Source organism: Homo sapiens, chromosome 13 (assembly GCF_000001405.40).
Source record: "Homo sapiens chromosome 13, GRCh38.p14 Primary Assembly".
Lineage (NCBI taxonomy): Eukaryota > Metazoa > Chordata > Mammalia > Primates > Hominidae > Homo > Homo sapiens.
In genome coordinates this window covers 51,636,893-51,654,589 of record NC_000013.11, presented here as the reverse complement: position 1 = coordinate 51,654,589, position 17,697 = coordinate 51,636,893, and the positions used below count along the sequence as shown (strand labels likewise).

The following is a 17,697-nucleotide window of genomic DNA, read 5'->3' as shown; positions in this document are numbered from 1 at the left end:
TAAGCCCGCAGAGGTTAGGGTATTGGGGGAAAAAAAGTCTGGGTGGAGCCAAGATGGCCGATCAGGAACAGCTCCAGTCTACAGCTCCTACCGTGAGCGACGCAGAAGGCGAATGATTTCTGCATTTCCACCTGAGGTACCAGGTTCATCTCACTGGGGATTGTCGGACAGTGAGTGCAGGACAGTGGGTGCAGCACACCGAGTGTGAGCTGAAGCAGGGCAAGGCATCACCTCACCCGGGAAGCACAAGGGGTCAGGGAATCCCTTTACTAGCCAAGGAAAGGGGTGAAAGATGGCACATGGAAAATCAGGTCACTCCCACCCTAATACTGTGCTTTTCCGACAGTCTTAGCAAACGGCACACTAGGAGATTGTATCCCGCGCCTGGCTCGGAGGGTCCTACGCCCACGGAGCCTTGCTCACTGCTAGCACAGCAGTCTGAGATCAAAATGCAAGGCAGCAGCGAGGCTGGGGGAGGGGCGCCTGGCATTGCCTAGGGTTGAGTAGGTAAACAAAGTGGCCAGGAAGCTCAAACTGGGTGAAGCCCACCACAGCTCAAGGAGGCGTCTGCCTCTGTAGACTCCACCTCTGGGGGCAGGGCATAGCCAAACAAAAGGCAGCAGAAACCTCTGCAGACTTACATGTCCCTGTCTGACAGCCTTGAAGAGAGTAGTGGTTCTCCCAGCACACAGCTTGAGATCTGAGAACGGACAGACTGCCTCCTCAAGTGGGTCCCTGACCCCCAAGTAGCCTAACTGGGAGGCACCCCCCAGTAGGGGCAGACTGACACCTCACACGGCCAGGTACTCCTCTGAGACAAAACTTCCAGAGGAACGATCAGGCAGCAACATTTGCTGTTCACCAATATTCACTGCTCTGCAGCCTCTGCTGCTGATACCCAGGCAAACAGGGTCTGGAGTGGACCTCTGGCAAACTCCAACAGACCCGCAGCTGAGGGTCCTGACTGTTAGAAGGAAGAAAAGCTAACAAACAGAAAGGACATGCACACCAAAACCCCATCTGTACGTCACCATCATCAAAGAACAAAGGTAGACAAAACCACAAAGATGGGGAAAAAACAGAGCAGAAATACTGAAAATTCTAAAAATCAGAGTGCCTCTTCTCCTCCAAAGGAACGCAGCTCCTCACCAGCAATGGAATAAAGCTGGACGGAGAATGACTTTGACGAGTTGAGAGAAGGCTTCAGATGATCAAACTTTTCCGAGCTAAAGGAGGAAGTTCGAACCCATGGCAAAGAAGTTAAAAACCTTGAAAAAAGATTAGACGAATGGCTAACTAGAATAACCAATGCAGAGTAGTCCTTAAAGGACCTGATGGAGCTGAAAACCACGGCACGAGAACTACGTGACAAATGCACAAGCCTCAGTAGCCGATTCGATCAACTGGAAGAAAGAGTATCAGTGATGGAAGATCAAGTGAATGAAATGAAGCAAGAAGAGCAGTTTAGAGAAAAAAGAATAAAAAGAAACAAACAAAGCCTCCAAGAAATATGGGACTATGTGAAAAGACCAAATCTACGTCTGATTGGTGTACCTGAAAGTGACGGGGAGAATGGAACCAAGTTGGAAAACACTGTGCAGGATATTATCCAGGAGAACTTCCCCAATCTAGCAAGGCAGGCCAACATTCACATTCAGGAAATACAGAGAACACCACAAAGATACTCCTCGAGACGAGCAACTCCAAGACACATAATTATCAGATTCACCAAAGTTGAAATGAAGGAAAAAATGTTAAGGGCAGCCAGAGAGAAAGGTCGGGTTACTCACAAAGGGAAGCCCATCAGACTAACAGCGGATCTCTCGGCACAAACTCTGCAAGCCAGAAGAGAGTGGGGGCCAATATTCAACACTCTTAAAGAAAAGAATTTTCAACCCAGAATTTCATATCCAGCCAAACTAAGCTTCATAAGTGAAGGAGAAATAAAATCCTTTACAGACAAGCAAATGCTGAGAGATTTTGTCACCACCAGGCCTGCCCTAAAAGAGCTCCTGAAGGAAGCACTAAGCATGGAAAGGAACAACCAATACCAGCCACTGCAAAGACATGCCAAATTGTAAAGACCATCGAGGCTAGGAAGAAACTGCATCAACTAATGAGCAAAATAACCAGCTAACATCATAATGACAGGATCAAATTCACACATAACAATATTAACCTTAAACGTAAATGGGCTAAATGCTCCAATTAAAAGACACAGACTGGAAAACTGGATGAAGAGTCAAGACCTATCAGTGTGCTGTATTCACGAAACCCATCTCACATGCAGAGACACACATAGGCTCAAAATAAAGGGATGGAGGAAGATCTACCAAGCAAATGGAAAACAAAACAAGGCAGGGGTTGCAATCCTAGTCTCTGATAAAACAGACTTTAAACCAACAAAGATCAAAAGAGACAAAGAAGGCCATTACATAATGGTAAAGGGATCAATTCAACAAGAAGAGCTACCTATCCTAAATATATATGCACCCAATACAGGAGCACCCAGATACATAAAGCAAGTCCTTAGAGACCTACAGAGAGATGTAGACTCCCACACAATAATAATGGGAGACTTGAACAACAACCACACTGTCAACATTAGACAGATCAACGAGACAGAAAGTTAACAAGGATATCCAGGAATTGAACTCAGCTCTGCACCAAGCGGACCTAATAGACATCTACAGAATTCTCTACCCCAAATCAACAGAATATACATTCTTCTCAGCACCACACCACACCTATTCCAAAACTGACCACATAGTTGGAAGTAAAGCACTCCTCAGCAAATGTAAAAGAACTGTCTCTCAGACCATGGTGCAATCAAACTAGAACTCAGCATTAAGAAACTCACTCAAAACTGCCCAACTACATGGAAACTGAACAACCTGCTCCTGAATGACTACTGGGTACATAACAAAATCAAGGCAGAAATAAAGATGTTCTTTGAAACCAACAAGAACAAAGACACAACATACCAGAATCTCTGGGACACATTCAAAGCAGTGTGTAGAGGGAAATTTATAGCACTAAATACCCATAAGAGAAAGCAGGAAAGATCTAAAATTGACACCCTAACATCACAATTAAAACAACTACAGAAGCAAGAGCAAACACATTCAAAAGCTAGCAGAAGGCAAGAAATAACTAAGATCAGAGCAGAACTGAAGGAGATAGAGACACAAAAAAATGCTTCAAAAAATTAATGAATCCAGGAGCTGGTTTTTTGAAAAGATCAACAAAATTGATAGACCACTAGCAAGACTAATAAAGAAGAAAAGAGAGAAGAATCAAACAGACGCAATAAAAAATGATAAAGGGGATATCACCACCGATCCCACAGAAATACAAACTACTATCAGAGAATACTATAAACACCTCTATGCAAATATACTAGAAAATCTAGAAGAAATGGATAAATTCCTTGACACATACACCCTCCCAAGAATAAACCAGGAAGAAGTTGAATCTCTGAATAGACCAATAAGAGGCTCTGAAATTGAGGCAATAATTAATAGCTTACCAACCAAAAAAAGTCCAGGACCAGATGCAGTCACAGCCGAATTCTACCAGAGGTACAAGGAGGAGCTGGTGCCATTCCTTCTGAAACTATTCCAATCAGTAGAAAAAGAGGGAATCCTCCCTAACTCATTTTATGAGGCCAGCATCATCCTGATACCAAAGCCTGGCAGAGACACAACAAAAAAAGAGAATTTTAGACCAATATCCCTGATGAATGTCGATCCAAAAATCCTCAATAAAATACTGGCAAACCGAATCCAGCAACACATCAAAAAGCTTATCCACCATGATCAAGTGGGCTTCATCCCTGGGATGCAAGGCTGGTTCAACATACGCAAATCAATTAACGTAATCCAGCATATAAACAGAACCAACGATAAAAACCACATGATTATCTCAATAGATGCAGAAAAGGCCTTTGACAAAATTCAACAGCACTTCATGCTAAAAACTCTCAATAAATTAGGTATTGATGGGACGTATCTCAAAATAATAAGAGCTATTTATGACAAACCCACAGCCAATATCATACTGAATGGGCAAAAACTGGAAGCATTCCCTTTGAAAACTTGCACAAGACAGGAATGCCCTCTCTCACCACTCCTATTCAACATAGTGTTGAAGTTCTGGCCAGGGCAATCGGGCAGGAGAAGGAAATAAAGGGTATTCAATTAGGAAAAGAGGAAGTTAAACTGTCCCTGTTTGCAGATGACATGATTGTATATCTAGAAAACCCCATTGTCTCAGCCCAAAATCTCCTTAAGCTGATAAGCAACTTCAGCAAAGTCTCAGGATACAAAATCAATATGCAAAAATCACAAGCATTCTTATACACCAATAACAGACAAACAGCCAAATCATGAGTGAACTCCCATTCACAATTGCTTCAAAGAGAATAAAATACCTAGGAATCCAACTTACAAGGGATGTGAAGGACCTCTTCAAGGAGAACTACAAACCACTGCTCAACGAAATAAAAGAGGACACAAACAAATGGAAGAACATTCCATGCTCATGGGTAGGAAGAATCAATATCGTGATAATGGCCACACTGCCCAAGGTAATTTATAGATTCAATGCCATCCCCATCAAGCTACCAATGACTTTCTTCACAGAATTGGAAAAAACTACTTTAAAGTTCATATGGAACCAAAAAAGAGCCCGCATTGCCAAGTCAATCCTAAACCAAAAGAACAAAGCTGGAGGCATCATGCTACCTGACTTCAAACTATACTACAAGGCTACAGTAACCAAAACAGCATGTTACTGGTACCAAAACAGAGATATAGACCAATAGAACAGAACAGAGCCTTTGTAGGGACATGAATGAAGCTGGAAACCATCATTCTCAGCAAACTATTGCAAGGACAAAAAACCAAACACTGCATGTTCTCACTCATAGGTGGGAATTGAACAACGAGAACACTTGGACACAGGAAGGGGAACATCACACACCAGGGCTGGGGCCTATTGTGGGGTAGGGGGTGGGGGGAGGGATAGCATTAGGAGATATACCTAATGTTAAATTACGAGTTAACGGGTGCAGCACACCAACATGGCACATGTATACATATGTAACAAACCTGCATGTTGTGCACATATACCCTAAAACTTAAAGTATTTAAAAAAAAAAAAAAAGTCTGACCGCTGAAATGCAGGGAAAGTGTCCTTTCATCCCCCACATAAAGCCCTGGGTTCGCAGTAACAGGACAGGGCCAAATGCACCGCACAGTCCATCTTGCACGTGCTGTTTTCTTCTCTCCCTGCCTCTTCCTCTCTCCTAAGCTCCCAGCACGAGGCACAAACCAACACTGGGAGAAGACAATGCTCATCTAAAAATACCAAGATGAAGTAGCCCATAGTCGGTCTCAAGCAGTTCAGCAACTGGGCTATTTATTTTTATTTTTTATTTTTTGAGACCGAGTCTCACTCTGTTGCCCAGGCTGGAGTGCAATGGCACGACCTTGGCTCACTGCAACCTCCACCTCCCAGGATTAAATGATTGTCCTGCTTCAGCCTCCTGAGTAGCTGGGATTACACGTGCATGCCACCACACTCGGGTAATCTTTGTATTTTTAGTAGAGACGGGATTTCACCATATTGGCTTGGCTGGTCTTGAACCTCTGACCTCAAGCGATCCACCTGCCTTGGCCTCCCAAAGTGCTGAGATTACAGGCGTGAGCCACTGAGCCTGGCCTGAGCTATTTAAAAACAGCATAATTTCATTCTGTGTTGGATACAGCTGATCACATTTCAACAGGTTAAAATTACTTTTAAATATCAGCCCTATTCTGTAGACCTAAAACAAAATTGATTTTTATTTTATTTTACTTTAAGTTCCGGGATACATGTGCAGAACGTGCAGGTTTGTTACATAGGTATAAGTGTGCCATGGTAGTCTGCTGTACCTACTGACCCATCCTCAAGTTCCCTCCCCTAGCCCCAAAATTGCTTCCTTAAGGTTAAAACGGATGTTTGATAAATTGTGGTGTTTATATCAAAGTTCTACTAGGATCAGTGCTGGTTTGCTCCTTGACTGGGCTATAAATGCAAGCAGAGAAGGAACCACATTTTACCATATTTGATATTTGCCCCAAGGTCAAGCACTACATCAGGCCCAAAAGTGGTGCTCATTGTTTGTGAAAGATTAAAAGAATCAATCAAAAATCTCTCCCTATGGCCATGGCCACCCCAACCTACCTGTCCACTGTCAGAAAGTCCTCTGACTGCACCTGGACAGACATCTAGTGCAAAAAGGCAGCAAGGAAGCTAGGTTGATACTGAGAAGTCTATACACTGTGCTGCATAAGATGATGGGAGGGAACTATGAATCCTTAATTGCACAGCTCCAGCCCTTATTTCCTAAAGAAATACTGACGGGCAGGGAATTCCCACGTGCCTCCCATCTCACCCCAACTCTCTCCAAAGGACTAAATTCAGTGCCTGCCTCAGTTACAACCTTAACCAGGACAAGTGCGACCTCAGGGACAGCACTCAGCACAGTAGCCAGTCTGATCAGGCAGAGGGGGACTCACATGTTCAACTAAGCAGGGAATCATATGCTCCCTTTCTGAGATCCCAATTTTTTAGTTTGTATTTGACTTTCTTGTTTTAAACTGTGCTGACACACATAAGCTGGCAGTAGTTTTATCAGACACAGTTGCTAAACTGACTCGTGTGTGTGTGTATACATGCATACACATACATAGTCATGGGCTGCATAACAATGTTTCAGTCAACATTGGACCACATATATAATGGTGGTCCCATAAGGTTTTTTTTTTTTTTTTTTTTTTAAGAGAGAGACATGGTCTTGCTTTGTTGCCCAGGCAGGAAGGCAGTGACACAATCATAGCTCACTGTCACTTTGAACTACTGAACTCAAATAGTGATCTTCCCACCTCAGCATCCCAAGTAGCTAAACTACAGATGCTCACCACCATACCTGGCTAATTTTTTAAAAAATTTTATAGAGACGGAGGTCTCACTGTGTTTCCCAGGCTGGTATGGAACTCCCGGCCTCAAGTGATCCTCCTGCCTTGGCCTCCCAAAGAGCTGGGATTACAGGCATGAGCCACTGAACCTAGTCCCCCTAAGATTCTAATACCATATTTTTACCTTACGCTTTTTATGTTTAGATACACACATACTCACCATTTGTGTTACAGTTGCCTACATTATTCAGTATAGTTACATGATACACAAATTTGTCGCCTAGGAATGACAGGCTATATATATCATACAGCCTAGGGACGTAGTGGGTAGACCATATAGTTTTGTGTGAGTACATTCTATGGCAATCACACAATGACTAAACTGCCTAATGACATATGTCTCAGAATGTATCCCCACTGTTAGGTGACACATGACTGTATCCATGGGGACTGGTTCCAGGATCTCCCCCAGATTTTGTATGCTCAAGTCTCTAATATAAAATGGTACAGTATTTGCATATGACCTACATACATCCTCTCGTAGGCTTTAATCTCTAAATTACTTATAATACCTAACACTATGTAAATGGTATGTAAACAGCTGTTATACTGTATTGTTCAGGAAATAATAAAGGAAAAAAAGTCTATACGCATTCAGTGCAGATACAACCATCCTTCCTCCCCACTTCCCCCAAATACTTTCCATCCAAGTTTTGTTGAATCCATGGATGCAGAACCCACAGATAAGAAGGGCCAACTGGATATGGCAAAGCACCACACCAGGTTCATGCCCCTACCCATCCTAGCCTGCAAAGACATATCCTTTGTGCTATATTCTAGCAATCTTTAGGAGTCTGCTTATAGTGATGCAGATAGTGAACAACAGGTTCTGACAACTTGGATTTTCCAAGACTACTAAACTCTAGAAGTTAGGAATTCTCCCCCACTGCCTCACAAGTGCACTTATATACATTCATTCATTGACTTGTTGATTCATTAATTTACACGACACACATTTATCAAACACCTACTAGGTACTGGTATGTGAAACACACTGGAACCACAAAGAAAAACAAGTGCCACCTCTGTTGTCAGGAAGCTCACAGGGGGAGACAGGTCATAGAACATTACAACAAAGCAAGGTAAGAGCTAAGGTATGGAGATGCCCATGCTGTGATAGGGGCACGTGGGGGCATCTAACTCTGACTACAGAGCCCGGGCTCAGGCAGGGTTAAACAAAGCTTCTCAGAAATAATGGTGTCTGAAATGCAGGGTGAAAAGGCATTTGGCAGAGGAAAGTGGAGAGGGCGTAGGAGCACATTCTGCAGGAGCATTGCCTCTGCCGCCCAGGGAGGCAAGGCGAGCAGGAGTCGTGAGAATCCAGCCTGGACAAAGAACAGGCAGAAGGCCACCGATGCTGAGGATGAGGAGCTGGTCACAAAACCACGCTTGTTCTTGTTTGTTTGGGGGCAGCCTGGAAAAGGCGGGGTTACCCTGAAGTAACCAGTTTGGAGGATGTAGGCAGCAAACCAAGTAAAAAAGGATGAAGGCCTAGAAGAGAGAGGACAGATTTTAGAGCAGTCAGGAAGTAGAAGCATCAGGACTTGGGGGCTGGCTGGATGTAGGGTGTCATATGAATGGTGGTGTCATTCATCAGTAAGTGATTTTTGTGGAAGGCAATGTTGAGTTCATCTTGAACACCCTGAGTGCAGGGAAAATCCAGTTAGGGCTGTTGCAGAGAAAACTGTCTACATGAAGTTCAGGGGTAAGACCTGGGCTGAAAATTAAGATTTGGGAGACATCAGCATATAAGGAGTAGTTACCAGAGAATAAGAAAAGAAGGCCAACAACAAAGACAAACACCAAGAGTTAAGGGGTGGTCAAGAGAAAAACATCTGCAAAGACCTTAGCACAAGCCAGCAGAGAGGCAGAAGAATAATCCTTCTTTACTTTACAGACACAAAATATGTCCTGAATTTTGGTCCAGAAAATAAGGTCATCATAAGCACACCTAAGAGCTGAACTATATTCACAGTGGAAACGTGCCTACAATAAAACACTATCTATATAGGTCATTTTTCTGAGAGAAAAGGGAAGGCTGGGGGTGGCAACAAACAGTATACCACAGGTTGCTAAGCTACTGAATAAAATAAGACGGGGCGTCTACCCATGTTGAAATCAGGCTTTTAAAAATGTGCCCTAGAATGATGCAACCTTCATTAGTTACCATAGCAATGAGCTTCATTTCCCAGGGGACAATTGTTATTTTTGCCACAACTGAAGTAACTTGGGGTAGGGGCTGGGAGAAGTGAAGCCCACTGGGTTTTGAAGGCCCTGAATTTCCAGGGAATACTTTTCTACAGATCACACCCTGCAACAGCAATACAAACAGAAGGAAGGCAGCCCCTAGCGATCTGCAAACTAATAGAAAAACTTTGAGCAACAGGATGTAGTTTTCATAGTCATTTGTTTAAAGAGAAAAAAAAGAAAAAAAAAAGCTTCAAACGCAGAAAATGTTGCAGAGATTCTTAGAAAACATAGCTGATTTTTTAAAAGTTGATTTCTCTATGATTATCAGATTTCTTTAATTACTTGTAATAAAAACAAACTGAGAGGTTCCCAGCAAATGCATTCCAACCACATATAGTAAATAACCTAAACCCAATCTTCTACAATGCACTGTGTATCTTTTGTTTCCAGGGTTTCTCCATGATAGACAGATGCTACTGTGTGGAAACTGCAAGTGAATTGAGGTGGCCAGCGGTTTCAAGACTCAGAGACTCAAGCTGGGTGTTGTCCAGTATTGTCCAGCCTCTGGTCCCCTCTTGCCAAGGAGCTCAGTTCTCACATTAATGACCTTGGTACAACAGACCCAAATAACTTTGCTGAATCATACACCTGGACTTTTTTTTTCCTCACAGCTGTAGCAACTCAGCAATCAGTGGCTAGAGAAGAGGTATGGCTATTTTATATTTCAACACCTTGGGCTTTTAATGGCACTCTTGCTTTCAAAACACTCACCGCCATTCCAGTTATTTGCAGTTATTTGCATCAGCAAGGTGTATTATTTATTCCAGCCATCTCCCCTTGGAGTTTTTATCAGTTGGGTCATTTCTCTTAATCCAAAGGCTGTGAAAGCCTTCACAATTTAGAATTTTTAAAATTACAGTCAAGTGACAACATTTTCAGTGTTTTTAAAATCTATAAAATGAAGTCTCAACATGAGGTTAATTGGACCCATATACCAGGTGAGAATTACAAACAATATACCTGGAAATGGTTGTCTTAAGCAGTCAGTAGTAAGACCCTCGAGAGGGGGAAGGAAAAGATGAGCCACAAGGTCTTAATTCGGAGTAGTTTTCTTACAAATAGCACTATTTTGTGTCTGCAGATAGTGCCCTTGTATTGCAGACTTGGCTTTTGTTTTTTTAGTAATTTAACTCTTACTGACTAATGCTTAAGCACTGCTTCCTGTCCTTGCATAGTTGTGGGTTTTATACTTCCCTGACTCCCTCTGTCTCTCCCCAGAGATACACACATATCCACTTTCCCTATGAAGCCTTGGCAATTCCTCAGGCAAAACTAAGCTCCAGAATCCCACTGTACCTTGCACAGGCCTATGTTAGGACACATCACATTAATCAATGTTAGTTAGCAAGTCCTTCTTCCTATGACACAAGAAATTCCCTGAATAATCAATAATTCCTTATTTGAATAAAGATTCAAACATTTTTGTTTTTTTAGAGTACCTACAATACTTTCATTTTTATCACATACAGTATTTAGCATACAGGAAGTGCTTTTAAAAGGTCATATAAATACAGGGAAAAAAAGAAAAAAGAAAGGGAAATTAAAGAGAAAAACGAATATTGTCCAAGCAGTGGTGAGGAAGAACCCACAAGGAAGTAGCAGGAACAGCAATGCACCAGAAGATCATGGAGGCTGGACAGGGCCCTAGTTATTAGCATCAGCCATGCCATCTGCAACACAGCCAGAGTCCCTCACAGGCAAGAGAAACATGAGTACCACCCTTGAACTGGCAGCCTAAGCAATTCAACAATATGAGAGTGTTCATCAATACCACCCTGTAGGAGAAATCGGGATGATATCATTAGAGGAATAATATAGATTTAAATATTGTTCTTGGCTCTATACACAGTGGGAGGGCATGGTCTGTGTCATCCTACTCACCACCATATTCCTCCAGCCAGTTACAGTGGCAGGCATGTGAAAAATGCTCAGTAGAAACAATGAAACAGTAAATGGAAAGAGCAGTGATTCAGAGGATGCCCCTGGCTGCTACTGTTCTGAATCTGAGATGGATTAACTGTTGTCTTCCAGGATAGTCATCTTAAAAATGCAGCAGATCCTGGGGGAAGGGGAACAAGGAGTGATTGTGTAATGGATACAGAATTTCCGCTTGGGATGATGAAAAAATTCTGGAAATGGACAGTGGTGATGGTTGCACAAGACTGTGACTATACCTAATGACAATGAATTGAACACTTACAAATAGTTAAAATGATACACTTTATGTTATATATATTTTACAATTTAAAAAAAAGGAAAATAGCAGAATGATTCTCTCTCTCCACAACTGTAGTCTTCATAGAGTTGCCAAAGGTGCAGCAATTAAAGACACATGGCCACATGGCTGGGCGCAGTGCCTCACGCCTGTAATCCCAGCACTTTGGGAGGCCAAGGTGAGCGGATCACGAGGTCAAGAGATCGAGACCATCCTGGCCAACATGGTGAAACCCCATCTCTAAAAATACAAAAATTAGCTGGGTATGGTGGTGTGCACTTGTAGTCCCAGCTACTCGGTAGGCTGAGGCAGGAGAATCACTTGAACCTGGGAGGTGGAGGTTGCAGTGAGGTGAGATTGCACCACTGCACTTCAGCCTGGCGACAGAGTGAGACTCCGTCTCAAAAAAAAAAAAAAAAAAAAAAAGACAGATGCCCACAGGCTGGTCACGAAGCAGGTTTATAAAAGTTATTCTGGTTGAGAATGTTATCATTAAAATAAAAACCTCTGGCTGGGCACGGTGGCTCAAGTTTCTAATTACAGCACATTGGGAGGCCACGGTGGATCACTTGAGCTCAAGAGTTCCAGATCAGCTTGGGCAACATGGTGAAATCCCATCTCTACAAAAATACAAAAAAAATAATAAAATTAGCCAGGAGTGGTGGAGCACACCTGTAGTCCCAGCTACTGTGGAGGCTGGGGTGGGAGGATTACTTGAGCCTGGGAGGTGGAGGTTGCAGTGAGCCGAGATTGTGCCACTGCACTCCAGCCTGGGCAACAGAGCAAGACTCTGTCTCAAAAAACAAAATAAAATAAAATAAAAATCTCAAGGGTCAAATAAATCAAATTAGCTACAAGTGAAGAAAGAATATATAAATTGTAAGATAAATGAAAAGCAATCTCTTAATAGAATACGGTATTCACAGAGACAAAGATATGGAAAATGTGAAAGGCTGAACATGAAAAACAAGGTAAAAAAGATTAGAATGAAAAGGTCTAAGATATAGATAACTGGAAAGACTAATAAGAAAATGGGGGAAAGGGTCAATAATTGAGAGATAATATCTCAGACTCTTAGATAAATTTTGAAAAATGCCAATCCTAAAATGAAGACAACTAATGACAAGGAAATTAGCTCAAGATCAGATCAAAATGTATTTCCTTTTCCAGATTAAATAAGATTATTACGATAACTGTAACTCAACTACACTCCCATTTTCCTGATATCCTGGAACATTAGACAAAATATTTTTTTTTTTTTTTTTTTTTTTTTTTTTGAGACGGAGTCTCGCTCTGTCGCCCAGGCTGGAGTGCAGTGGCGGGATCTCGGCTCACTGCAAGCTCCGCCTCCCGGGTTCACGTCATTCTCCTGCCTCAGCCTCCCAAGTAGCTGGGACTACAGGCGCCCGCCACTACGCCCGGCTAATTTTTTGTATTTTTAGTAGAGACGGGGTTTCACCGTTTTAGCCGGGATGGTCTCGATCTCCTGACCTCGTGATCCGCCCGCCTCGGCCTCCCAAAGTGCTGGGATTACAGGCGTGAGCCACCGCGCCCGGCCCGACAAAATATTCTATAGGAATGCATGCAGACCTCTTCAGAGAAAAGAGGAATTCAATCATGCATCATTAGATTATAACCACTTTTCTTTGCTATGCTCTCATAAAAAACATGCCAAACACATTTTTCAATACCACCTCTTATATTTCAGTGGTGACTAGAAATGCTCCATGAACAGGCTGGCTGCGGTGGCTCACGCCTGTAATCCCAGCATTCTGGGAGGCCAAGGTGGGTGATCACGAAGTCAGGAGTTCAAGACGAGCCTGGCCAAGATGGTGGAAATTCCGTCTCTACTAAAAATACAAAGAATTAGCCGGGCGCAGCAGGCGCCTATAATCCCAGCTACTCGGGAGGCTAGGGCAGGAGAATCATTTGAACTCGGAGGGCGGAGGTTGCAGTGAGCCGAGATCATACCACTGCACTCCAGCCTGGGCAACAGAGTGAGACTCCGTCTCTAAATAAATAAATAAATAAATGCTCCATGAATAAGATGGACCCAACTTGGATAGAACGTGGTTTTAGAAAATAACTTCCACTAACAAAATTAAATACAGCAGAGCAGAAGACAGAAAGTCCAACTCTTCTGCCTGCGCTGTCTCTATTTCTCTTTATCCTTTATGAATCATCCCAGTGAGCAAAGATATAATCATCCCCAGCAGGTGTGTGAAGGTACTAGCTAGGACTCTAGAGGAATTAAATGATTCGATAAATCTTGTTGCCCAGGCTGGAGTGCAATGGCGTGATCTCAGCTCACTGCAACCTCTGCCTCCTGGGTTCAAGCGATTCTCCTGCCTCAGCCTCAGGAGTAGCTGGGATGACAGGCACCCACCACCACACCCAGCTAATTTTTTGTATTTTTAGTAGAGACAGGGTTTCACCATATTGGCCAGGCTGGTCTCGAACTCCTGACCTCAGGTAATCTACCCGCCTCAGCCTCCTAAAGTGCTGAGATTATAGGCATGAGCCACCGCACCTGGCCTATTCATTTATCTCTGTGTGATAAAGAGGCACTAGGGTATGTGGAACCAGTTATCCTTTATAGATATGTACTGTAGCATTACCAGGTAAAATGATAGAGTAATCTAAAATTTGTTCACAGCAAATCCCAACATCCATACCCAACAAAGGGTGGAAGGAGTAGATGCATGAAATACGACTGACAAAGGTTGATAACTAAAGCTGCATGACGGATATATTGCTATTTCTGTGTGTTGTATATATTTGAAATTGCCCACAAGAAACTGTTTTTAAAAATCTTCAGCTTTTGACTCATATCAACAATTGTATAAATTATATACAACAGCCTCTTCTGGGAGCACAGATTATAAATAGAAAAACAGTAGTGATTATTAATTCAAGCAGTACTAAACACTTTTGTCATTTACTTAGCAATCTGAATTGATTTAATATCCTTTATTGATATTAATAAAAAGTTCACAGATAAAACACTTTATCTCTAGATAACAAACAAATTCTGGGCTTCTAAAATGAATGAACCACCTTGAATAAATTGTGCTTTTAAAGATTTGAACAGCTGAGGCTAATTATCTAGCATATTTGCCCAAATGTTAAAAATAATAATAATTGATACACAGTATCAGAATAATCCTGCTAGAAATTTTTTAAAAGCTCTCATGTCAAATATTCTCAATATATATGATGGTAGTATATGTCAATGAGAAAGGAGACAACAGCATATGGGCGTCTTTGAAGTTAGCAGAGTAGATGAAAATGCCTACTTCTGCAGTGCTTAAATGTATTTCATTAGAAGATTAAATTCTCCTCACTACTGAAAAACACCAAATGGCATAAAATAATTCAGATTCCACATTACATAATCTACATTATTTCGAATATCCATCTACTTTCCTTTATGACAAAGAGACAAGTACTGAGTTTCTGGATGGAATCATAAAAGCCCTCATAATCCAGCCTATATTAAAAAATAAGACTAACCATTTCTCACAAACTTTAAATAAATCTGATATGTTTTGTAGGGATACAAAGGAGGTATAAAACAAAAAAATCTAAAAGACAATGATATATCATTCCTCTGCCAAGTCAAATAAACAAACGACAGTAACTACTGCCCTCTACAATTTTGCTTGGAATAAAGTGATGATTTTGAATAAATGGCTGAAAAAAGTCTCATGTTATCTTGGAAAACCACAGTATACAGATAACCCCTCCTCCTATAATCAACCTTTCTTCCTGTGGGTTTTGGTGATGCATAATGTATACTCATGAATGTTAATAAATCCCATAAATCAAAATCACATTACCTTTTCTTCCACATTGAGCCTTTCCCATAAGCTTCTATAGAATTGTGCATCAATGTTCCTTGATATATCAAAGTACATGGTGTAAAAAAGTGCAGATGAACCCACGATAGCAAAATTTCTTTATATTTTTGGTTGAGAAAAGTCTCTTGCCAGAGACAATTCATTATATTCTTGACCTCCCTTGATTTTGTGACAATAAAAAAAGCATACATGTAAACTCATTAAATGCACAGAGAAGCCATAGAAACAGAAACTTCTGTTTATTAGCCCTTATTTTTGTTTTTGTGGGGAAAGTGGGGTAAAAGCAATAGCTGTAACTAAATTATTTTCTAAAATTTTCTTCAAGAATTTATCAAACTGCAAAAAGATTCTGAAATTCCAAAGAATCTTGAGCTTGAGCTAAGGCTGATAAGCCACATAGTCCCTTCGCCAAAGGCCATTCCGTAATGAAGCATAACATGTAAATCATTGCTCTGCATATTATGCATCAGTATCAAGTTAAGCCCTGCAAAAATAAAAATCCAAAAAGTTTAGCAGTGCCCAATATTTTTACTAGCCAGCATACTTTCAAGGAGTTATGTAGGTAATAAAATGAATGAAATCAGCATTTTCTGACTCACACAGCATAGCTTTTCATGAATGGGTATTTTTGTGTGCAAACGGATTAACCCTCTGATCTCATTTTAATGAGTTTCTTTTCGTCTTTGAGGGACTACACTGCACGGAAGCTCAATCATTCTATAGTCATTTAAATCAATCCATCTAAGAGTTTTAAGAAATCCACTCACTTGCACTTATTTGGGAATACTAAATTCACCAAAATTTAAACGCAGAGAATAAAGTTATCTCTTCCATCCAATATGTTGCTCAGCCCTGTCAAATTCTTCCTCCTTAATGTGACTAAAATCTGTCTTCTCTGCTATCCGTACTGCCTTAGTTCACACTCTCATTAATACCCCACCCCCAGGAGCATACTAGCTGGTCTCCTTACTCCTTTTCATCCTTCTCTGATCCCTTCTTCACCCAGGCCCTGGCAGTCATCTTTCTAAAATCCAAATCTAATTATGTCAGAACCTTCAAAGATTTGAGGACCACGCTCAACTCTATAGTTTACCAGGCCCTCCAGGATCTGACCTCTGTCTGTTTCTCTGACCCTATCCACCCTAGCTGCCCAACGCTGGCCCCATTAGTAAACTACTCTTGTCAGAGGCATTCAAACCAGAGTGACTCCATCTGGAGTGAGGGCTAGGAAAATGAGGCTGGGACTTGCTGGGCTGCATTCGCAGAAAGTTAGGTATTCCTAGCCTCTAGATGTTTACGGTTAAAAGAACTGGTAATGTTTACTAAACAGACCCAGACTTGGGAGTGTCCTAATATCCCAATATCTTGAGAACAAAAGCATTCCTAATTTTGCTTTAAATAATATCAATTCTTGCAAAATACAGTAATTAAGACAATTAATCCTTTATCACAAACCCTTGTAGCAGAGCACATCTCCCCATTATCTTTTTTATCCTATATGTACAAGCACTGTACCTAGGGTGGACGCATTCCTCCTTTTACTTTCAGGAATGCCCTACTCTGTCTATGGAGTGGTTATTCTTTCACCACTTTACTTTCTTAATAAACTTGCTTTTGCTTTGCACTGTGGACTCACCCTGAATTCTTTCTTGCAAGAGATCCAAGAACCCTCTCTTGGGGTCTGGATCGGGACCTCTTTCCTGTAACACTCAGTTCTCTAACATGGTAGCTGACAAACATTTGGATTTCATAGGTCAAAAAAACAATAACAAAAACAACTAAAAGGGTAGTGAGTGAAACAGAGGGTTGCCAACTTTTCATTTGCCAAAAAAAAAAAATTATTTCAAACAAAAACAAAATCTACAATTTGCTAGCACTTTCATTTTACAAAAAGTTAAGAAAAACATGATCTTATCATTTTAAAACACAAAGAAATTTAATTCTAGAAATAAAATGCTCATTGCATTGCCCCATCCCCTTTTTTAAAAATTTCACTGCACACTGGTAAAACCTTTTGCATGAACTTGCTCAATGAAATCCCTGCCCTAACTCATCATACCTCTATGTCCCTGCACATGCTGGCCTCCTGCTTAGGCAACTGTTCCTCCTCCATCCCCAGTTTTCACCTGCAAAACTAACACACCTTATAGTGCCAGGCAGTCCTTTTCAAATTTTAATGTGCATAAGAATAACCTAGGGATCTTGTTAAAATGCAGATTCTAGTCACAAATATTTTGTCTGGTGTTTCTTCTAGAAGTTTTATAATTTGAGGTTTTACATTTAAGTCTATGATCTGCTTTGTATTCATTTTTGCATGTGGTATGAGGTATGGATCGAAGATCATTTTTTC

The 17,697-nt window shown here is 41.4% G+C and overlaps 1 protein-coding gene across 8 annotated transcripts in view, besides 3 other annotated features; it reads right to left on the bottom strand.

Annotated features, from left to right (window-relative positions):
• WDFY2 (WD repeat and FYVE domain containing 2) overlaps positions 1-17,697 on the bottom strand; it is a 183,248-nt gene that overhangs the window by 113,120 nt on the left and 52,431 nt on the right. For 2 of the 8 annotated variants that reach the window (XM_024449317.2, XM_047430088.1), the window contains exon 1: positions 7,183-9,000. The exons of the other annotated variants lie outside the window; for them this stretch is intronic. The gene's annotated coding sequence lies outside the window, so the exon portion shown is untranslated. Of the gene's footprint in view, positions 1-7,182; positions 9,001-17,697 lie in introns of those variants that run through there. 8 annotated transcript variants of the gene reach the window in all.
• Positions 7,733-8,379: an enhancer, noted in NCBI's record as "OCT4-NANOG-H3K27ac-H3K4me1 hESC enhancer chr13:52220347-52220993 (GRCh37/hg19 assembly coordinates)". NCBI's record gives its function as "activates a minimal SCP1, AML or CMV promoter by ChIP-STARR-seq in primed H9 embryonic stem cells {active_cell/tissue: H9 hESC(primed)}" and the evidence as "EXISTENCE:reporter gene assay evidence [ECO:0000049][PMID:30033119]".
• Positions 7,943-8,237: a silencer, noted in NCBI's record as "tiled region #443; HepG2 Repressive non-DNase unmatched - State 14:Gen5'". NCBI's record gives its function as "represses a minimal TATA promoter and a strong SV40 promoter by Sharpr-MPRA in HepG2 cells {active_cell/tissue: HepG2}" and the evidence as "EXISTENCE:reporter gene assay evidence [ECO:0000049][PMID:27701403]".
• Positions 11,280-11,779: an enhancer, noted in NCBI's record as "H3K27ac hESC enhancer chr13:52216947-52217446 (GRCh37/hg19 assembly coordinates)". NCBI's record gives its function as "activates a minimal SCP1, AML or CMV promoter by ChIP-STARR-seq in primed H9 embryonic stem cells {active_cell/tissue: H9 hESC(primed)}" and the evidence as "EXISTENCE:reporter gene assay evidence [ECO:0000049][PMID:30033119]".